The sequence below is a fragment of the Homo sapiens genome, chromosome 17, assembly GCF_000001405.40.
Source record: "Homo sapiens chromosome 17, GRCh38.p14 Primary Assembly".
NCBI lineage: Eukaryota > Metazoa > Chordata > Mammalia > Primates > Hominidae > Homo > Homo sapiens.
The window spans coordinates 2134862-2158515 of NC_000017.11; the positions used below are offsets into that span (position 1 = coordinate 2134862).

Below are 23654 nucleotides of genomic sequence, written 5' to 3' on the forward strand. Positions count from 1 at the left end.
TTTTAAAAAGTTTTATTTTAATTTATTTTTTTTTTTGAGACAGAGTCTCACTCTGTCACCCAGGCTGGAGTTCCGTGGCACGAACTCGGCTCATTGCAACTTCTGCCTCCTGGGTTCAAGTGATTCTCCTACCTCAGGCTCCCGACTAGCTGGGATTACAGGCGTGAGCCACCATGCCTGGCTAATTTTTGTATTTTTAGTAGAAATGGAGTTTTGCCATGTTGGCGAGGCTGGTCTCAAATTCCTGACCTCAGGTGATCCACCTGCCTCGGCCTCCCAAAGTGCTGGGATTACAGGCATGAGCCACTGCACCCAGCCTAATAGTTTTATTTTAAATTGACAAATAGTAATTGTATATATTTATGAAGCACAATGTGATGTTTTGATAAATGTATACATGTGGAACAATCAAATTGGACTATGTAACACATTCGTCATCTCATATACTTATTTATTTGTGGTGAGAACATTAAAAATCTATTCTTTAAGCTATTTTGAAATATACATTATTCACTCTAGTCACCATGCTGTACAACAGATCACAAGAACCTACTCCTCTTGTCTAATAAAAACTCTGTATCCTTTGCCCAACGTCTCCTCTTTCCCCGTCCACCCCCACCAACCCCAATCTTAAAAACTGAGTTATACTTAGTGACTTTATCACAAAGCAAAGCTGTCTAAGAGAACCTTATGGCAATAATGGAAATGTTCTATATTATGCTTGACAATACAGTACCCATTAGTCTCATGTGGTTACTGACCACTAGAAATGTGACTAGTGTGACTGAAGAATTGATTTTTCAATTTTACTTAATTTTAATTAACTAAGTTTTGACTGATTGATTGAAACAGTGTTCTCACTCTGTCACCCAGGCTGGAGTGCAGTGGTGCAATCACAGCTCACTATAGCCTTAACCTCTCAGGCTCAAGCAATCTTCCCACCTTAGCCCCTTGAGTAGCTGGGACTACAGGCGCTACCACCATGCCCAGCTAACTTAAATTTTGTGTAGAGATGGAATCTCACTATGTTGTCCAGGCTGGTCTTGAACGCTTGGACTCAATCCTCCCACACTGGCCTCTCAAAGTGCTGGGATTACAGGCATGAGATACCACACCTAGCCTATATATATATTTATGTGTGTGTGTGTGTGTGTGTGTGTGTGTGTGTGTGTGTGTCTGTGTGTGTATATATACAGATATAAATATATACATATTTTTTGAGACAGAGTCTCGCTCTGTCGCCCAGGCTGGAGTGCAGTGGTGTGATCTTGGCTCACTGAAACCTCTGCCCTGGGGTTCAAGCGATTTTCACGTCTCAGTTTCCTGAGTAGCTGGGATTACAGGCATGCACACCATGCCTGGCTAATTTTTGTATTTTTAGCATAGACGGGGTTTCACCATGTTGGCTAGGCTGGTCTCGAACTCCTGACCTCAGCCTCCCAAAGTGCTGGGATTACAGGCATGAGTCACTGCGCCTGGCCAATTAATTTAAGTAGACAAATGTGGCTAGTGACTGTTATCAGTCAACCACACAGTGAGCTCTAAGAAATAGAAGTAAATCATGGCATTTCTTCATTTCTATCTCATCTATCTCATTGATTCTAAATATCTGTGGCAAAATGTTTCCTTTTCGCCTGCTCCTGACACTCCTTGGAAAGTCTCCATTTCCCTATTCAGAATTTGGATTTAATGATCTTTCCAGAGGAATAGACACATATGTTCAACACACACACGCATACGCACACAGAGTCCTAAGTCAAACTCAGGGAAAACTTTACTGAATACACCAAAATAGCTGGATTCATGGAATTCACCAAAAAATGCACCAAAGACGATTCAATCCCTGAAAAGGCCTCACCTTTTTTTCCTTTTTTTTTTTTTAGCTTTTTTGTCTAAAGACACCAGAATTTCAATTATCCTTCTTGGTAAGTCCTTACATAAGTTTAGTATGTTCTTTTTATTAAATAAAACACAAGAAAAAACAGGCATGTTCTGCTCCTGAAAGATCAAATTAAGGTCAGGCATGATGGCTCACGCTTGTAATTTCAGCACTTTGGGAGGCCGAGGCAGGAGAATTGCTTGAGCCAGGAGTTCAAGAACAGGCTGGGCAACATGGTGAGACCTCTTCTTTACAAAAAAATAAAATAAAAAAATTAGCTGGGCATGGTGGCACACGCCTGTAGTCCCAGCTACCTTGGAGGCTGAGGTAGGAGGATCGCTACTTGAACCCAGGAGGTGGAGGTTGCAGTGAGCGCAGATCCCGCCGCTGCACTCCAGCCTGGGTGACAGAGTGAGACCCTGACTCAAAAAAAGGATCCAGCTAAAAGAAATGGTTTGAATGCAGGTTACTAACCACGGAACGCTTCTTGGTACAGGTTACTACTACCACACTAATAGGTAGACAGGAGAAAAGCAACTCTCCAGAAGGGAGTACCAAAAGTGGTGATATACGGAGAAATGTTTTTCCAGCTCAAAAGAAACACACTAGAACAAACACCCTAACCTTGATGACCCCCACAGGCTGCTATTCAGGTGCTCATGTTTTCGATGTGAGCCAAAGTGTCATTCCTTAAAAAACTCCTTGATGTGACTCCAAGAAATGGTGTGACAGTACTCGCTGCAGATTCGCTTACAGGCACGCCAGCAGGACCTTTCACATGCAAATGGGCTTACTCATCACAGCTGTCAGGGTTCTCGGGGAGGAGTTTAAAAGAAAAGGCAACACTTCCCTCTCAGTGAACTGAGGAGTGTGGCTGACCCTGATTAAGTGAGAATGAAGGGATAAAAGACACCTGGAGAATGACCCCAGCAAGCAGAAAGCGCCATGGGACTAGGTCTTGAGAGAACTTGATGGGAATTGAAAGTCTTTGGCTCTATAGATTCTCTGATTCAGTCAGCCCACCTTGATTGGTTTTGGCACATCCCCCACCCGCAAGCTGGCTTAGATATTCATGGACCTTAGTACAGAATCCAAATGTCCTCTGTATCTCCAAGTCAGATCTTCCTTGTCTTTACAGCAGGAGTGCCTGTCAACCATGTCATTCAGCTAGGCCTCACTGGCTCTTCCTCACACAGCCCTCATAAGACATGAGCACCACACTAGACACTTGGGGATGGCGGTTGGAGAGTAGTATCACGGAGCTCACAATCGAATTGTCCAGTGTGTAGTCTTAAAGGCAGATGCAGACAGAAAGAGCTGAGCGATGGCCCAGAACTGTGTCCACACCTGGAAAATGCCTTTGGTGTTGTTATATCACAACATGGAAATACAGTTATTTAGTAGGAGGCAGGAAAAAAAAAACACCCTGGAATTTCAGAAAGAAGAAAAAAAATATACGGTAAAGGTAGGCAGTGGCTGGGATTAGTGAAAATGACAGTGAAAGCTTTAGATTTTTTCAAATGTAAAGGTTAGGGAAATGAGAACTGGATACTCAAACACTCCAAGATAAAGAAGCCTGTCCCCCATCTACAGGAAGTTTATCCCTGACATCTAAATAGTCATGTTTTAAAATCAACAAGTTTGCTGGTTCTCAGCTGCCACTAACCAGAACCCCCAGTGGCTGTGGCCTACAGTGTAGACAGACTGTGCCCAGCCAGACTAAATGAAGACATATAACCGGAAGTCAGCCACCAGCCTGACCCCTCCCAGTTTCAGGAGGAGACTGAGCAAAACACTATCCAGCTACAGGAGTAGTAGACCAGATGCTTTAACCCTAGCAGCATGGGGTACAAAGGACCCCACATATGAATCAGCAGATTCAGAGAGTAAGTGGTCTATGACCCAAGGAAACTCTAAGAATAAGAATGGAAACTTACCAGCAAGGTCAGCAGGACTTTTGGTTTCCCCCACCTCTCTCCCTCCCTGTCCACTGCAGTTACATATTCATGTCCACAGTCACATATTTTTAAAATTTGATATAATTATCTCCTAGAAATTACTGTATGTAGCCTCTTGGGATCTAAAGCAATTAAGTGAAGATAAATGTATTTCATAGAGCAAGCTGTCAAAGGATAAAGCAATTTCATTCCCCATTTGAAGTGGAGGCTTGGGTCATGCATGGTTTATTTGAAACAAAGCCATCACCTAAAGCTGCTGATCTTATCTCTAACTCTGTTCTCCATTCCAAACTGCTGGAGATGTGTAGCGTGGCACTGCCTGAAGTTATGACATCTGGCTCAAGGCCAGCAGAACAAGCCAGCTCCTCTTCTAGGTTTCAAGCATAAGAGGACGAAAGTCATATTAAAAGACAGTAACTATACAGGTGAAGTCTGTTAAACCCTAAAAAAGGGAGATGTTTCCAGGGTATTGGGAGTGACTACAGAGGCATCTAACAATGGGGAAGTTGTGCAAGAAAAGGCAGAAGAAACAGCCCCCAAATGGGGTAGGTAAAATAAATGCCAAGGAACCAGATTTTTCTCTTCTGGGAGACACCAAACCAAACAGTGAGGCCTATTTCACCAAACAGCCTAAGAGATGGAAAGCACGCCAGACTGACAATCAAGAGCTCAGGGTTCTAGTACTATAAGACCGTGTGAAACTTATGGAAAAGTGCCTGCTTTTTTCTTTTTTTTTTTTTTGAGATGGAGTCTCACTCTGTCACCCAGGCTGGAGTGCAGTGGCGCGATCTCAGCTCACTGCACCCTTGGCCTCCCGGCATCAAGCGATTCTCCAGCCTCAACTTCCCAAGGAGCTGGGATCACAGGCGTGCGCCACCATGCCTGGCTAATTTTGTATTTTTAGTAGAGACGGGGTTTCGCCATGTTGGCCAGGCTGGTCTTGAACTCCTGACCGCAAGTGATCTGTCTGCCTTGGTTCCCAAAGTGCTGGGACTACAGGTGTGAGCCACTGTGCCAAGACATTTAACAAACAAATTTTTTTTTTGAGATGGAGTTTCGCTCTGTCACCCAGGCTGGAGTGCAGTGGTGTGATCTTGGCTCACTGTCACCTCTACCTCCTGAGTTTGAGCGATTCTCCTGCCTCAGCCTCCCAAGTAGCTGGGATTACAGGCGCATGCCACCATACCCGGCTAATTTTTGTATTTTTAGTAGAGATGGGATTTCACCATGTTGCCCAGGCTGCTCTCGAATTCCTGAGCTCATGTGATCCTCCCACCTCAGCCTCCCAAAGTGCTGGGATTACAGGCGTGAGCCACCACGCCCAGCTGGGAAACTGCCTGTTAACTAATTTTTTTTAAACTGTTAAGGGGCACTTTATTTTTGAGACAGGGTCTCACTCTGTCACCCATGCTGGAGTGCAGTAGTGAGACCTCGGCTCACTGCAACCTCCGCCTCCCAGGCTCCAGTGATCCTCCCACCTCAAACTCCCAAGTAGCTGGGACCACAGGCATGTGCAACCATGCCCAACTAGTTTTTGTACTTTTAGTAGAGATGGGGTTTTGCCATGCTGCCTAAGCTGGTCTCCTGATATCAAGTGATCTGCATGCCTCAGCCTCCCAAAGTGCTGGGGTTACAGGCGTAAGCCACTGCACCTGGCCTGACACTTTATTTTTTTAAATTCTTCATATCCAGGCCGGGTACGATGGCTCACACCTGTAATCCCAATACTTTGGGAGGCCAAGGTGGGTGGATCCTGAGGTCAGGAGATCAAGACCATCCTGGCTAGCATGGTGAAATCCTGTCTCTACTAAAAATGCAAAAAAATCAGCCGGGTGTGGTAGCACGCACCTGTTGTCCCAGCTACTTGGGAGGCTGAGGCAGGAGAATCGCTTGAACCTGGGAGGCGGAGGTTGCAGTGAGCCGAGATTGCACCACTGCACTCCAGCCTGGGTGACAGAGTGAGATTCCATCTCAAAAAAAAAAAAAAAAATTCTTCATATCCACATTGTATTCATTTTTATAACATGCAGTCAATGCAATATTTAGAAAGTAGTATTCAATTAAAAAAAAAAGCCATTGAAGCTGTCTTTAGGTGAAATCCATGCATGTCAGACCTTGTCTGAGCACTGCTTTTTACAGAAGCCTTGACAAACTGGAATTGCCTTTCAAGTATTAGTGCATTGGAATCACCTGGAGAGCTTGTTAAATGAGCCTGCTGGGCTCCACCCTCAACTGTTTATGATTCAAAAGGCTGAGGTAGGGCCTAAAACATTACAAGTTCCCAGGTGAATCTGATGCTGCTGGTAATGGCACAGAGAAATCTGGCCAGGAGAATGATCTAGAATTGCAGTGTTTAATACAGTAGCCACTAGCCACATGTGGATATTTCAATTTAACTACATTAAGATTTGTTTTTCGGTTGCACTAGCCACATTTCAAGTATTCAAAAGTCACATGTGGCCAGTGGCTACCATAGAGGATGGTGTGGAAATAGTAACTTTCCATCATTACAGTACTAAACACTGCATCATTACATAAAGTCCTATAATATTTCGCAGCACTGGCCAAGAATCTATTTGATTGCACTGGTTTGTTTAGCTTAGAGAAAAGAAAACGTAAAGAGAATTTCAAGTATAACTAAGGTGTGTCAGATATAGAAAAAACAGACTTTGTGATTTTGAGAAAACTTTTAAAAAATCATTAAGTGGGAATTACAGGAAGGCAGGCTGTGTTCAGTTTGAGAAGGAACTTTTTTTTCTTAGAGATGCGGTCTTGCTCTGTCACCCAGGCTGGAGTGCAGTGGCACAATCACAGCTCACTGTAACCTTGAAATCCTGGGCTCAAGTGATCCTCCTGCCTCAGCCACTTGAATGGCTAGGACCACAGGTGTGCACACCATACCCGCTAATTTTTAAAAAATTTTTTTGCAGAGGCAGGGTCTTGCTATGTTGCATGGCTGGTCTTGAACTCCTGGGCTCAAGTGCTCCTCCTACCTTGGCCTCCCAAAGTGCTGAGATGACAGGCACAAGCCACCTCACTCAGCCTGAGGAGGAACTTTTTATAGTGACTGTCTCATAATAGAGTAAATTCTGGGGAAGCATCTGGAGCAGAGGCCATTGAGAAAACTGGAGGACTATTTTTTCATTAGATAAGAGACTGGCCCTGATGTCTTCTAAGGAAGCTTTTAACTCCATGGTTCCTTTGTAATCAATCTGATCCAATTTTATAGTTACAATCACTGTTTACCATTTCTTTGGAATCTAGGATACTTTTCTGAAGTGTGTACTTCAGGTAGAAGAAACTTCGTTTAGTGAGGATATTTGGTGATAAACTCTGTTTTGTTTTTGTTTTTGGCGGGAGGACAGGATCTCACTATGGCTGGACTCCAATGCCTGGGCTCCAGTGATCCTCCTGTCTTAGCCTCCCAAGTGGCTGGGAATACAGGCGCACACCAGCTTCTCCCAGTCCTTATTGTTTAAAAATGTCTTTATAACACCAAAGCACAAGTAACAAAATAAAATAAACCAGATTAATTGGACTTCGTAAAAATTAAAACATTCAAGAAAGTGCAAGGACAATCAAATCATAGGGAGAAAATATTTGTAAATCATTTATCTGATAAAGGACTTGTATCCAGAATCTATAAAGAACTCCTGCAACTCAAGGCTGGGTGTGGTGACTCATGCCTGTAATCCCAGCACTTTGGGAGGCCAAGGCAGGAGGATCGCTGGAGCCCAGGAGTTCAAAACCAGCCTGGGCAACACAGTGAGACCCTCTCTGTCTGTCTGTCTATCTATCTATGAACTCCTACAACTCAATGTAATCTTTCTATCTATCTATCTATCTATGAACTCCTACAACTCAACAATAAAAGACAACCCAATTTTAAAAGTAGGCAAATATGGCCGGGCACAGTGGCTCACGCCTGTAATCCCAGCACTTTGGGAGGCTGAGGTGGGCGGATCACCTGAGGCCAGGAGTTCGAGACCAGCCTGACCAACATGGAGAAACCCCGTCTCTACTAAAAATAAAAAAAAAAATTAGCCAGGCGTGGTGGCGCATGCCTGTAACCCCAGCTACTCGGGAGGCTGAGGCGGGAGAATTGGTTGAACCTGGGAGGCGGAGGTTGCGGTGAGCCAAGATTGCGCCATTGCACTCCAGCCTGGGCAACAAGAGCAAAACACTGTCTCAAAAAAAAAAAAAAAAAAAAAAAAGTAGGCAAATATTTGAACAGTATTCCAAAGAAATACCAACAGCCACTGAACACATGAAAAGCTGTTCAACATCATTAGTTATTGAGAAATGCAAGTGAAAATCACAACTGAGATACCACTTCACACACACTAGGATGGCTATAATAAAAAAAATAATAAGTGTTAGTGAAGATGTGGGGAAATTGAACCCTCATACATTTGCTGCTAGTGAGAATGTAAAATGTTGCAGCTGCTTTGGAAAACTGTCTAGTGTGGAAGTTCCTCCAAGAGTTAAACACAGTTTACCATATGACCAAACAATACTACTTCTAGGTATATATATCTAAGAGAAATGAAAACATATGTCCACATAAAAACTCATACACAAATGTTCATATCAACATTATTCATAATAGCCAAAAAATGCAAACAACCTAAATGTTTATGAAACTGATGAATGGATAAACAAATGTGGAATTACCATATAATGGAATATGATTCAGGCATAAAAAGGAATGAAGTACTGATATGAGCTGTGACATGGATGAACCTTAAAACATTAAGCAAACCAGAAGACACCAGATACAAAAGGCCATAATTATATGATCCCATTCATATGAAAGAAGCAGAAGAGGCAAATCTAGAGAGACTGAAAGTAAACTAGTGGTTGACAGGGGCTAGGAAGAAGGGAAAATGGAGATGACGCGATAGGTAGAGGGTTTCTTTATGAGGTAATGAAAATGTTCTGAAATTAGTGGTGATTGTTGTATTGCTCTATGAATATAATGAAACAACGGAATTGTGTACTTTAAAAGGTTGAACTTCATGGAATGTGAATCATATCTCAATAAATTGATTAAAATTTAAAAAGGGTATTAAAACATCTTCACTCTTATTTTGTAGTTAGGAAATAATAAATTGTATCTTTTTAAGCTAAAGGGGTTAAAAGTATTCTTTTAGATTTTTTTCTCCACAACTGTACTGGGGTATAACTGAAGTGTACTAAAACTGCACATATTTAAAGTGTACAATTTGATCAGTTTTGGCTGCAAGTGGCAGGATCATGGCTCACTGAAGGCTGAAACTCCTGGACTTAAGGGATCCTCCCCACTTAGCCTCCCAAGTACTGGGACTATAAGTGCATGCCACCACGGCCGCTTTTTTTTTTTTTTTTTTTTTTTTTTGAGATGCAGTTTCACTCTTGTTGCCCAGGCTGGAGTGCAATGGTGCGATCTCGGCTCACTGCAATGTCCGCCTCCCGGGTTCAAGTGATTCTCCTGCCTCAGGCTCCAGAGTAGCTGGGATTACAGGTGCCTGCCATCACGCCCAGCTAATTTTTATATTTTCAGTAGAGACGGGGTTTCGCCTTGTTGACCTCGAGACCAGGCTGGTCTCAAACTCCTGACTTCAGGTGATCTGCCCGCCTCGGCCTCCCAACATGCTGCGGTTACAGGCGTGAGCCATGGCGCCTGGCCATTAATTTTTAAATCTTTTTGTAGAGATGGGTTTCTCATCATGTTTCCCGGGCGGGTCTGGAACTCCAGAGCTCAAGTGATCCTCCTGCCTTGACTTCCCTAAGTAGTGGGTTTACAGGCATGACCCACCATGCCTGGTCACCTTTGTTTATCCTTTACAAGGTAGCTTTTTTGGGAATGATAATTATTTACTTTAAGTATATTAAAGGCTGTGGGCTGATTTCCATGGAACTGTATCCACGGGAATTCTTTGTGGCCTGAGTAGAAGCTGCTTTTTTCCAGAGAGGACTTGTCTTTGCTTCTGCGGGTTACCCTGGGACACTGTCAGACACAGAGATCACTTTAAATTAAACCATCTGCTGCTCAAGGTTTTTCAGAGTACATAGGTAGTATGAATTCAGACTCAAAACTCAGGTGAGGGTTAGCTCATGGTCGTAAAATGCTCACCATGAGGTTTCCTAAAGCTGGAATCCCAGCTTTAGGCAGGGCCTCCTACATCATTCCTCACCTAGGGCGCACCCCACGCTTTCAGGCCCGCTCACCATAGTCCAAGCAGTTTTTAGTGAGTAAGCCCAAAGCTTCCAGGGCTTGACAGAAATCATCAGGGCAAGCACCAGCCAGCTTTGGCACTCGCTTACTTTTCAGAAATCTTTTGTTCATTTAGTTCTTAAGATCTGCAGATTTCTCGTTTTCATGCCAGCTCAGGATGCGTTATATTATAGTTAGCATTTTATGTTATTTATTTATATTTTTATTTTTTTGGAGACAGTCTCTCTCTGTCGCTCTGTTGCCCAGGCTGATCAGTGGGGTGAAATCGGTTCACTGCAACATCTACCTCCTGGGTTCAAGCGATTCTCATGCTTCAGCCTTCTGAGTAGCTGGGACTACAGGCGTGTGCCACCACACCCAGCTAATTTTTTTTTTTTTTTTGTCCTCTTAGTAAAGACAGGGTTTCCCCCAGGCTGGTCTTCAACTCCTGAGCTCAGGCAATCCACCTGCCTCAGCCTCCCAAAGTGCTGGGATTACAGGCGTGAGCCACTGTGCCCAGCCTACAGGGAGCACTTTAGCTGTGTTAATTGAGAAGGTTGTTCAGTGTATCTAATCCTACCATACAACTAAAAATGGAAGACCCTATTAAGCTCCTTGAGTTCTAAAAACCTCATGTAGGGTGGGCGCAGTGGCTCACACCTGTAATCCCAAAACTTTGGGAGGCCGAAATGGCCGAGATCGCGCCACTGCACTCCAGCCTTGGTGACAGAGCAAGGCTCCATCTCCCCAAAAAAAAAAAAAAAAAAAAAAAGCATATAGCTTACCTTTGCATCAGAAGCCACAGAGAGGATGCTGATGTACCTCCAGAAATAAAAACAAAAAAGAAAAAACAAAAAACAAGAAGCCACAGAGAGGAAAATCCATTCTTATTCATCCATTCTGAACTCAATTAGGTGACTGTTGGTAACTGGAATAGTTTCTGGAAAGCACAATCCACCCTGAAGTTTGGGTCAATGTAGATTCTACCTGTCTGCAACTGTTCCTGAGTAGATGAATGATGCTCTATCTAAATCTCAATATATATTCCATGTCTTTCAGTTATTCAGATTAGCATCTGAATAACTAAAAATATTTAAAATAAGTAAAATCTTAAGGGACTCCTTTCCTAAATATTTCTCTTTGTTGAAACAAAGAAACAACAGGAGAAAAAGGGCCTAGAAGATATGATTAAATGAACTAAAATAATATATGTGGGAGGTTATAATTCTCAAAAAACAATAGTAATGCAAAAATATGCTTAAGTAAAACCTAGTGAAGCATGTGGAAGCATGAACTCTGGTGTCTGGCACATGCTAAGTGGTAAATATTTGTTAGATTACATAACATGCTTACTTTAGATGGGCAGGTGATGGGGCCAATGCATCCACATCCCTAAACAATGCTGAGCAGACTTTGTGACCATTTTCAGGGAAAAACCAAGTCAGAGACTTGACCCTTGCCCTAGTTCAGAGGAGGCAACCCCATACTGGGAGATGAACAGATATGAGTAAGTAGGTCACCTGTGCTCTGTTCCCCTTACCTACCAAAGAAACATACAGCCTTTGGTCTAAGACAAAAAGACTAAATTTGTTTTGCCTTCAGGTTTAGCAAAGAATTTCAGTAACAGTGAATTTGATGGCTCAAGATGATAATGTCTTTTCTTTTTTTGAGACTAAGACTCTGCCACTCAGGCTACAGTGCGGTGGCGTGATCTCAGCTCACTGCAACCTCCACCTCCCATGTTCAAGTGATTCTCGAACTCTTAAGCTCAAGTGATCTGCCCACTTCAGCCTCCCAGGTAGCTAGGACTACAGGCGCATGCTGCCACGCCCGGCTAAGTTTTGTATTTTTAGTAGAAATTGGGTTTCACCATGTTGACCAGGCTAGTCTTCAATTCCTGGCCTGAAGTGAGCCACTCACCTCAGCCTCCCAAAAAGCTGGGATTACACGTGTGAGCCACCACGCATGGCCTAAATTGTATTTTTATAAAATCTTTACAAAGTGCTTTCATAGAGCTGATCTCCTTTAATTCTCACAACAGCTCTTTGAGCTGGGTAGGGCAGTTAGGGGTTTCCTTATTTTATTGAAGAAGATACAGAAGCCCAGAGAGGTTACAGGGATATTTCACTTTTGCTTCAAAAAGAAAGAAAATCCAAAAGAAGGTATATATGAGATAGAGTTTTTGTTCGTTTGGTTTAGAAAGCTATAGGTTATAGGGGCCAGAATGGTGGCTCACACCTGTAATCCCAGAACTTTGGGAGGCCGAGGTGGGTGGATCATTTGAGGTCAGGAGTTTGAGACCAGCCTGGCCAACATGGTGAAACCCTGTCTCTACTAAAAATACAAAAATTAGCTGAGCGTGGTGGTGGGTGACTGTAATCCCAGCTACTTGGGAGGCTGAGGCAGGAGAATCACTTGAACCTGGGAGGCAGAGGTTGCAGTGAGCCAGGATTGCACCACTGCACTCCAGCCTGGGTGACAGAGCAAGACTACATCTCAAAAAAACAGCTATAGGTTATAGGCCACACAAGTAGCTTATAGCAAGTTAGGATCAGAGCCTAGGTGGGCGTAGTGGTGCACACGAGTAGTCTCAGCTACTGGGAAGGCTGAGGCAGGAGAATCACTTGAGCTCAGGAGTTCAAGTCCCGCCTGGGCAACATAATGAGACCTTACTTCTTAAAAAAAAATGATCAGAGCCAACATCTGACACCTTAATGCTCAAGCATTCCAAGGCCAATCAACTGAGAAAGGAGAAATTATACATTTAAAATGAACACAACAAATAAGCACACAAAAAGATGTTCGACATCACTTGTCATTAGGAAAATGCAAAATCAAAACCACAGTGCAATACTGCTTCACACCAATACACCGACTAGGATGGCTGTTACTAAAAAACAAAAGTATTGTGAGAATGTGAAGAAACTGGAACTCCTGTGCACTATTGGTGAGGATGTAAAATAGTACAGCCGCTGTGGAAAATGTATGACGATTCTTCAAAAAATTAAACACAGATGACCGGGCACGGTGCCTCACGCCTTAAATCCCAGTGCTTTGGGCCGAGGTGGGTGGATCGCTTGAGCTCAGGAGTTCGACACCAGCCTGGGCAACATGGTGAAACCCCATCTCTACCAAAAACACAAAAACTTAGCTGGGTGTGGTGGTGCGCACCTGTGGTCCCAGCTACTGGGGAGGCTGAGGTGGGACGATCGTTTGAGCCCAGGAGGTGCAGGTTGCAGTGAGCTGAGAGTGTGCCACTGCACTCCAGCCTGGGCGACAGAGTGAGACCCCATCTCAAAAAATAAAATAAAATAAAATAAAATAATTAAACATAGAGCAACCATAGGATTCAGCAATTCTACTTTCTACTTCTGGGTATACACCCAAAAGAATTGAAAGCAGGATCTCAAAGAGATATTTGTACATTTACGTTCACAACAGCCAAAAAGTGGAAGCAACCCAAGTGTCCATCAACAGGTGAATGGACACACAAATTGTGGTAGATGTATGCATACAACAGAATATTATTCAGCATTAAAAAGAAATGAACTTTTGCCACGTGCTACGGCACGGATAAAACGTGAAATCATTATGCTGAGTGAAATAAGCCAATCACAAAAGGACAAATATTTTATGATTCCACTTATATGAGGTTCACAGAGTAGTCAAATTTATAGAGAAAAGCTGGGCACCATGGCTCATACTTGTAATCCCAACACTTTGAGAGGCCAAGGCGGGCGGATCACTTGAGGCCAGGAGCTCAAGACCAACCTGGACAACATGCCAAGACTCCGTCTCTACTAAAAATACAAAAATTAGCCAGGTGTGGTGGCAGGCACCTGTAATCCCAACTACTTAGAAGGCTGAGGCAGGAGAATTGCCTGAACCCAGAAAACTGAGGTTGCAGTGAGCTGAGATGGCACCACTGCTCTCCAACCTGGGAGGCAGAGTAAGACTCTGTCTCAAAAAAAAAAAAAATTCAGAGAGAAAGTAAATAGAATGATGGTTGTCAGGGGCTGTGGGGAGGGAGGAATGGAGACTTATTATTTCATGGGTACAGTGTTTGAGTTGGTGAAGATGAAAAAGCTCTAGAGATGGTTGTGGTGATGGCTACACAACAGTTTGAATGTACTTAATGCTGTAGAACCGTACATTTAAAAAACTGGTTAAAATGGCTGGGCAAAGTGGGTCACGCCTATAATCCCAGCACTTTGGGAGGCCGGGGAGAGTGGATCACTTGAGGTCAGGAGTTCGAGACCAGCCTGGCCAACATGGCGAAACCCTGTCTCTACAAAAAATACAAAAATTAGCCGGGCGTGGTGGCACATGCCTGTAATCCCAGCTACTCGGGAGGCTGAAGCAGGAGAATCACTTGAACCCAGGAGGCAGAGGCTGCAGTGAGCCGAGATCACACCACTACACTCTACCCTGGGTGACAGAGCGAGATTCCCCCTCAAAAAAAAAAAAAAAAAAAAAAAAAGGGTTAAAATGGTAAATTTTATCTTATGTATATTTCATCACAATTAAAAAAATAGAATGAACATTACTTAAAGAATAAGACTAATCTCTCTTCCTAACTCCTCACCCTCTTGCCTCTTCTGGTAGTTGACATTTTGCAGCTTCTGGTATTGACAACACAAGGAAGAACAGGTGAAAGCTACCAGTGAACGAAGGGCTGTCCCGTGACCCCCATACACCTGGAGCAAAAAGCAATCTAGGCAGGGCTTGTAGGCACTCCTTGACATCGTGGTCTGACTGGCAAGGCCAAATATTGTCCTCAGCTCTGTCTGTGTGAGATATGGAGGTGAAGAAAGAAATAACAAAGGACTGCTTCAGTTGTCTTTTTATGGGTTGGGCCCTCCAAGAAACAGAGCTGGCTCTTAGTCCTAAGAGGCTAAAACTTGCCTTCTATCAAAATGTAAGTCAGTGGCAAAGCACCAATTCCAACATTTCAGTTCTAAGTCCACAGGACTTTAATGTTTCCACCGGGAGGGTCCTGCTCATGTTTTGTAATCCTAAAAGGCAGAACTGCCTGTTCATTCATGTTCAGTTTAGCAGGAGGGCTAGAAAGGAGACAGGTTAGATTCTGGCAGAGTGCCTTCTTCCCCCAACTGCATCCAGTCTAGAGCAGGGGTCCCAGCCCCCGGGGTTGTGGACCGTGGTACCAGTCCATGGCTTGTTAGGAACTGGGCCGCACAGCAGGAAGAGAGCGGTCAAAGCAAGCAAGACCGCCTGAGCTCCGCCTCCTGTCAAGTCAGCAGCAGCATTAGATTCTCACAGGAGTGGAGCGCGAACCCTATTGTGAACCACACGTGCAAGGAATCTAGCCTGCGTGCTCCTTCTGAGAACCTAACTAATGCTGGATGATGGCAAGTGGAACAGTTTCATCCTGAAACCACCCACTGCTAACCCTGTCTGTGGAAAAACTGTCTCCCACAAAACCAGTTCCTGGTGCCAAAAAGGTTGGGGACCACCGGTCTAGAGTATCAAGGGCCCAATACCAATGTGTTGAACAGATGCTGTTGGCACTGTCTACTGTGTTCATCAACATCCCCAAAGGACACAGCTATGCCCCATGTCATCAGGGGTAGCTCGCCTCTAGGTGGTTATGTCTTCCTGGCCCTCGATGCTATGGAAGTGATCCCCAAAGGACACAGCTATGCCCCATGTCATCAGGGGTAGCTCACCTCTAGGTGGTTATGTCTCCTGGCCCTCGATGCTATGGAAGTGACCAGGTTCAACTCTGATGGCCATCTTGAGATGTTCTTCCTATTACACTTTATATTGCTGTTCCCAGAAGTCAGGCAAAGGCAAATCACAAAAGATCTCTGCCTATACAAAGTATGACTCTAAGGTAATAAGATATGTTTTTAAAAATCACAAATGAGTATTGGTCTAATTAGGATACTTGACAGTGACATCTTACACCGAGGCTGTGAAATACCCTTTCCCCCAACTCTCAAACCCAGATCTCACTTGAGTGTGAAGGATTAAAAAAAAAAAAAATCCGTAACCCAGCTGTGACACTTCCTTCCACCTCTACCTGTACATCTGTTTCCTATGGCGTGCTGCCGCCTCAAGTAAGATGGGTGAGGCTTCTGTAGATGCTGGGGAACAAGATGGAACAAAAATGCTTCACACCTGGCTCCCAAATTACAGGAACGCTGGACCGAGGCCAACATAAGCTGGCACAGCACCAGCTGAAATGGACATCAATTAAGGAGCTTGTCATCTTTCAAGACTACAGGGTCTTTTTTCACTCCACAGTCTGCACTGCTCCACAAACCAGCCATAGCACCACTAGCAGGGTTTTCCAGATGGGATCATTTCCCTTAGATTCCACATTTGCAGATTTATTGCAGAACTTTTTAACCCATCCCTCCATTTTTAAAGCCTGAAATATTATTCCACATTACAGTTTTATATTCAATTGATTTGTCTATAGCAAAATCTGTACTTTCATGAGCAGAAAAAGAAAGTTTTAAGCCTGCCTACAAGTTGCTGTTTGCTTACAAAAAGACATGCAAATAACTGAGATTCACGAAGGCTCAGAAATTCTTCTCTGAACACATTGCTCCAACTGGGATCAGAAGTCAGAGAGCCTTCACCAGGCTCCACTGTCCTGGAGAAATGGTCAGATCTCCAGCACTAAGGCAGGCCTCCTCTGACCATCACATGCAGTGTTAGTGATCCATGTCACATGCACAAAGAAAAAGAAACTCTACTAATGTCTAGTCAGTGGCAAATGCTGCTTAAGAAAAACATCTTAACACGGATCAGCAATTAAAAAGTGACAAGATTCCACATAGTATCTTCTCTTGACTTTTATCCAATGGGGCAGGACATTTTCCCTACACCTATGCGGCTGCCCAGTGGAAAGAATTCCACACAACATGAAAGAGACCCATGGTGAGTATGTTCTGAGAACTGAATTCCATTGCCTCGGGGGCCTGTCTGCTGCTGCCAATTTGCTTCTCATGGCAGAACCCTGTGTGTCAGAACCCTGACTAGGCTCTGCCGATGGTTGTTTGGAAAAGAGTCCAGCTGGAGATGAAAGGAGTTCTTCAAAGCAATGACTCCTTGGAGGCTATCACTTTAGAATTGGGAATGATTACTTATCAAAAAACGACTTCACTCTGGAATATACTACGGGCAAGAAGCTGGCCTGACCTCTCGGGTATTCTGTTGGAGTCGGCCTGAGCCGGAGAGGCCTTGATGAATTTGGAGTGATGGCAGGAAGTGAGGAACCCAGTTGAAGGTAAGAGCCCAGAAGCTACATCATAGGCGGGGACAGGAGAAAGAACTGAAAAAAGCTTCAGAAATCTGTCTGGACAATTCAGTTTGGCCCACCCCTTATCCCCCTCTTTCATTTTAAATAAACAGCTTCAAAAGGGGTGGTCCTCACAACTTTCTGCTGACTAAGGTCTCAATTTCCTTATGGTCCTCTACTAAGAGAGCCTGTGAACCCTTCAGCTCTCAGCATTTAATCAGTCAAAACTTAGTCTCTAAAGTGAAAAGACAAGCCACAGACTGAGAGAAAATATCTGCAATGCATTTGTACCTGACAAAGGATTTGCATCCTAAATATATAAAGACCTCTCAAGACTCAGTAAGAAAATAATCCGATTTAACAATAGGCAAAAGATGTGAATAGACACTTCACCAAAGAAGATACACAGATGACAAATGAACATATGAAAAGATGCTCAACATCATTAGCCATTAGAGAAATGCGAATTAAAATCACAAGGTACCTAGTATAATTATTAAAAAACAAACAAACTGACAGGATCAAGTGCTGATAATGATGCCAGAACAGGAACTGCTCGTGCAATACGGTGCAGCCACTTTGTAAAACAGTTTGCTGGTCTCTAGCGAAGTTAAACATACTCTTATCACATAAACCACCCGTTCCACTCCTAAGTATTTATCCAAGAGAAATGAAAACCTAAGTTCATTTAAGAAACGTAAAGACTGATGCACAAATGTTTACAGCAGTTCTATCCATGACCACCAAAAACTGCAAATAGCCCAAATGTTCAACTGGTGAATGGATAAACAAATCATAGTGTATGTATACAATGGAATACTACTCTGCAACAAAAAAGAACATATGATTGATATAGGCAACAGCATGCATGAATCTCAAATGTATTACGCTATGCGAAAAGAAGCCAGACTCAAGAGCTCTATATCAAGCTTATCCAACCCGTGGCCCACGCAGCCCAACGCAAATTTATAAACTTTCTTAAAATACTATGAGATGTTTTTTGAGACTTTTTTTTAAAGCTTATTAGCTATCGTTAGTGTTAGTGTAGTCTATGTGTGGCCCAAGACAATTCTTCCAATGTGGCCCAGGGAAGCCAAAAGATTGGCACCCCTGCTCTATGTACTGTATGATTTTATTTATACGTCATTCTGGAAAAAGCTAAGTTACAGAGACAGAAAACATCAGAAGTTGTCAGGGACTGGGGTTGGGAAGGGAGCTGGTTGCATGAGGGAATTTTTGGGGGTGTTGAAAATGGTCTATATCTTAATTGTAGTGATGGTTACATGAAAGTATGTGTTTCTCAAAACTGTACAACAGAGTGAATTTTAACTTATGCAAACCCGCCCATCTTGGTTGCTAAGAGTCTCTATGGCACAGGGGTAAACTGGTGGAACGCCACTCCACGCGGTGACTGGGGGAACCTGGGGATGCATGTAGAGTGTGACGGTGACTGGGGAACCTGGGGATGCATGTAGAGTGTGACGGTGACTGGGGGAACCTGGGGATGCATGTAGAGTGTGACGGTGACTGGGGAACCTGGGGATGCATGTAGAGTGTGACGGTGACGGGGGAACCTGGGGATGCATCTAGAGTGTGACGGTGACTGGGAAACCTGGGGATGCACGTAGAGTGTGATGGTGACTGGGGGAACCTGGGGATGCATGTAGAGTGTGACGGTGACTGGGAAACCTGGGGATGCACGTAGAGTGTGCGGTGACGGGGGAACCTGGGGAGGCACGTAGAGTGTGACGGTGACGGGGGAACCTGGGGATGCACGTAGAGTGTGACGGTGACTGGGGAACCTGGGGATGCATGTAGAGTGTGACGGTGACTGGGGAAACCTGGGGATGCATGTAGAGTGTGACGGTGACTGGGGAACCTGGGGATGCATATAGAGTGTGACGGTGACTGGGGGAACCTGGGGATGCATGTAGAGTGTGACGGTGACTGGGGAACCTGGGGATGCATGTAGAGTGTGACGGTGACTGGGAAACCTGAGGATGCACGTAGAGTGTGACGGTGACGGGGGAACCTGGGGATGCACGCAGAGTGTGACGGTGACTGGGAAACCTGGGGATGCATCTAGAGTGTGACGGTGACTGGGAAACCTGGGGATGCATCTAGAGTGTGACGGTGACTGGGAAACCTGGGGATGCATGTAGAGTGTGACGGTGACGGGGGGGAATCTGGGGATGCATCTAGAGTGTGACGGGGCTGAGGGAGGGCCCACTTTCACCTTGAAATTACAGACAACACTATAAAACAGACAAAGATTTATGTTGGAAAAAAAGAATTTTATGCCCTTTGTCCTTCAACTTTTTCCTTGTTGTAGAGACAATACAACCTTCTTTAGAGATTACAAAGGTATGAAATCTCAGCCTGGTATTCCTCCTCCCTTTACATGTCCTGTTTCACTTAGGCAGAGGTCTCTGTTTCTCCAAAAGAGCAAAGTGTATATTCAAGCTGAAATCAGAGGCCTAGACTAACTAGAGGCCTGCTGGCTGGAAGGGATTAATGTGCACAGAACTTAATAAAAATGAATACTGAAACTATTGTTAATAATAAACACCTGCTAACCTCTAATTAAAAAGTATAAGGACAGCATGGTGGCTGTAATCACAGCACTTTGGGAGGCCAAGGTGGGTGAACTGCTTGAGCTCAGGACTTCAAGACCAGCCTGGGCAACATGGTGAAATCTCATCTCTACAAAAAAATACAAAAATTAGCGGGGTGTGGTAGCATGTACCTGTGGTCCCAGCTACTCAGAAGCTGAGGTGGGAGGATCCCTTGAGCTCAGAAGGTTGAGGCCACAGTGAGCCACTGCATTCCAGCACTGGCAACAAAACAAGATGTTGTCTCAAAAAAAACAAAGTATACTCTGAGAAAAAAAATTTTTTTTTTTTTTTGAGATGGAGTCTCACTCCATCACCCAGGCTGGAGTGCAGTGGTGGGATCTCAGCTCACTGCAACCTCCACCTTGCTGGTTCAAGTGATTCTCCTGCCTTAGCACCCCTAGCAGCTGGGATTACTGGGATTACAGGTGTGCGCCACCATGCCCGGCTACTTTTTGTATTTTTAGTAGAGACAGGGTTTCACCATGTTGGTCAGGCTGGTCTCAAGCTCCTGACCTCAGGTGATCTGCCCGCCTCAGCTTTCCAAAGTGCTGGGATTATAGGCGTGAGCCACGGCGAATGAACCAAGAAATCTGTCATGTTTTCAGTGGGTAAGGGAAAAAACATAAAGTATCCATGTGAAAATAAAGTTTCTCTTCATGTCATTAACAATAAAATGATGAGGATAGCCACCTCCAAAGATATAGCAGATTAAATGAAAAAGTATGCCTCTTATAATGAGGTTACATGACCATAAGGAGCAAGTAGGTTCCATGGAAAAAGATGTGTGTTACAGCAGTACCCAGAAAGCTATGAAAGCAGTGAGCCTGAAGAAGAGAACACATCCCACTCCTACCATAGTGTCTGATCTCCACGCCTCTGCTTCACAACTTAGTCCTTCTAGCACTTTTTGGGTGCTTCAAGAGAGGAAGGAAATGGTACAGAAACGCAGCTTGTACATAAAGGGCACAAGCATGTAAGCATATGCACACATACAAATGCAGAGAAAAGGTCTTTTCATTTAAATGGAGGAAGCTGCCATGTCTACCTCTATAAGCAAAAGTATTAATCATCCACCGTCTGGTTTTAATCCACACGCTCCTGATCCTGCATTTGAATGTATTGTTATCAGGGGAAGAAGCATTTCTGCTCAATCTTATTCACCAGCCAAAAACCTGAAAATGTGAAAACCACATTGGTAGGGTACCTTCTTGGGGACCCAGAAAACTGAGCTGAGCTGCTCTTTTACTGTTTTCTTTACCTTTTTTTTTTTTTTTTTAAAATAATGAACAAATGTCAATTTCAGGGGCACTCAGATTAGATAGAGCTCAGGCCGGGTGCCGTGGTTCACGCCTGTAATCCCAGCACTTCGGGAAGCTGAGGTGGGCAGATCATTTGAGGTCAGGAGTTCGAGACCATCCTGGGCAACATAATGAAACTCTGTCTCTACTAAAAATACAAAAAAAATTAGCCGGGCGTGGTCAGTGGGTGCCTGTAACCCCAGCTACTCCGGAGGCTGAGGCAGGAGAATCGCTTGAACTCGGGAGGTGGAGGATGAAGTGAGCTGAGATTGCACCACTGTACTTCACCCTGGGCAACAGAGAGACACTCCTTCTCAAAAAAAAAAAAAAAAAAAAAAAAAAAAAGAGTTAAAAGCTCAAACTACAGGTCCTTCTATCTTAGAGTGACACTATCCTCAGGGAAATTAGCATCTTTTCTTCTGTTATTTCCCAAAGAGATCCAGCCACACACAACTTGACTAACATCAGCCTGTCAGATGCAAGACTGGGCACCCAGGTGCATCCCTTATGAGCATTTACAAATGAAATGCCAAGCCCAAACAGCAAGCCTTTCCCTCCTGTCTCTGTTTTGTTTTTTTTTGCTTGTTTGTTTTTTGAGACAGGGTCTTGCTGTGTAACCCAGGCTACAGTGCAGTGGCACGATCACTGCTCACTGTAGCCTCGACCTTCCAGGCTCAAGCAATCCTCCCACTTCAGCCTCCAAGTAGCTGGGACTACAAGCATGCAACGCCATGCCTGGCTAATTTTTATTTTTTTGTGGTGACAAGGTCTCACTATGTTGCCCAGACTGGTCTCGAACTTCTGGGCTCGAGCGATCCTCCCGCTTTAGCTTCCCAAAGTGCTGGGATTACAGGCATGGTGTCACCGGGTGTGTCTCCATTCTTCTAGTTCATGCTTTGCTAACAGTAAGGGAAGGGTTTAAAAAAGTGTTTGTATGTATCTCAGCATGTTTCTTCCACTGTTTGTGCTAGAGACCCTCCCTCCTCCTAAGGGTTAACCTAAAAAGGTTCCCAAAGTCCGTATGTGGGCTGAAGTACCTTCTTCAAAGCCATTAGTCACCAACCTTGCAGTCTTACTCCAGACTGCACACGGGGCCACCCATGACACAAAAACTCTGGCAAGATTAGGGGCTAGCAAGAGCAGAAGAAACCACAATATGCCTGAGACTCCCAGGAGAACAGTGACTAGTGCTGGTAGGGAACAGACTGACAGACAAAGCAGACAGACTCTAACCAGGCCTCGCTCTGTTTTCGATGCAACACAAATGTTTTCCATTAAAAGTTCCCTGCCCCACAAACACTCATACATGCAGCTATGAACTCCACATACTCAACTTCTGCTTTTCTGGCACACTGACCCAACTACCTCTCCTGTTCCTCTGGAAGAGAGCAAAGATGAGGGTAAACAGATTTTGGTACCCCTATCACAAAGGTAAGTGGAAGGGAACCACAATTAGAAGCATGCTTACTAAGTACCACCCAACATGAGTATGACTGAGCAGGCCAAAGGGAAGAAGGCAGAAAGCATGGACTTTCCTTTTGCCAAAACCAATCCTGTCTAGCTTTGGATCTTACTGTTTGGCTCTCATGCTTTCAGCTTAAAGTTAGGCTTAACTTTGTAGTAAAGTCTGCAAATGATCTTCATCAGGAGGTGTTGGTCACCAATAAAACCAAAACAGGCAAAAACCTCAGAACACTCATTACAAAGTCTGCAAAATTCTAGTACTAAGCAATCAGGGAATGCTGGCTGATTTGTAACCTGTATTTCAAATGCTTAGAACCAGCTGGGTATTGCAATGGCGACAAGAAGCTGAATTAGAAATCCCTAAACCATCAGCAAGCTCTCCTCCCACCACCAGTAGAACCTGGCCCAGGTGCATTTCTAACCAAAGTCACAGGAGTGGGACACATAAATGTTTGAGTAATTCCTTAAAAGAAAAGAAACCACAAGTAAGAATTTAAGGGAGTAATAAAAAGGGGTGAACATTGAAAAGAAGGGAAGAAGTTAATTTTTTAAATGGCATGTGAGAAATAAAAAGGAAATCCCCTGTTCAGGCAGCTCTGGAGTTCCCTAATTGCACAAGAGCAAAGGACACCCCCACGGAACATGTATGCCTTCTGAAGCCATTGCTCAACCTACACTCATTGTGCAATTTCAATCTTCCAAAGTTTTTTGCTGCACATATGCAAACCACGTTTTCCTCTGCATTCTAGAATTAAGAACAGTTTATCATTATTCTCTTCACTTTAGAGAGGGGTGTATGCATGAGCCAAAAAAGAAAAAAAAAAGTATTGCTAGATAAGCATTCACTACAAATGAGGTTTTATATTATTTCATCTGGTTATTTCTGAGTTTACTGGTAGTTAAGAAACACTTGAATTCACTCTTAGGCAGCTAAAGATTCATTTTTCCTGTCACTGACAATAATGATATCACAA

The 23654-nt window shown here is 44.0% G+C and overlaps 1 protein-coding gene across 12 annotated transcripts in view, besides 3 other annotated features; it reads right to left on the bottom strand.

Moving 5' to 3' along the window:
- Positions 1-23654, bottom strand: part of SMG6 (SMG6 nonsense mediated mRNA decay factor) — a 243947-nt gene that overhangs the window by 75023 nt on the left and 145270 nt on the right. The gene's annotated exons all lie outside the window — the stretch shown is intronic.
- Positions 2563-2612: an enhancer, noted in NCBI's record as "active region_11477". NCBI's record gives its function as "activates an Ori minimal core promoter by ATAC-STARR-seq in GM12878 lymphoblastoid cells {active_cell/tissue: GM12878}" and the evidence as "EXISTENCE:reporter gene assay evidence [ECO:0000049][PMID:35858748]".
- Positions 3538-3737: a silencer, noted in NCBI's record as "silent region_7986". NCBI's record gives its function as "represses an Ori minimal core promoter by ATAC-STARR-seq in GM12878 lymphoblastoid cells {active_cell/tissue: GM12878}" and the evidence as "EXISTENCE:reporter gene assay evidence [ECO:0000049][PMID:35858748]".
- Positions 4158-4357: an enhancer, noted in NCBI's record as "active region_11478". NCBI's record gives its function as "activates an Ori minimal core promoter by ATAC-STARR-seq in GM12878 lymphoblastoid cells {active_cell/tissue: GM12878}" and the evidence as "EXISTENCE:reporter gene assay evidence [ECO:0000049][PMID:35858748]".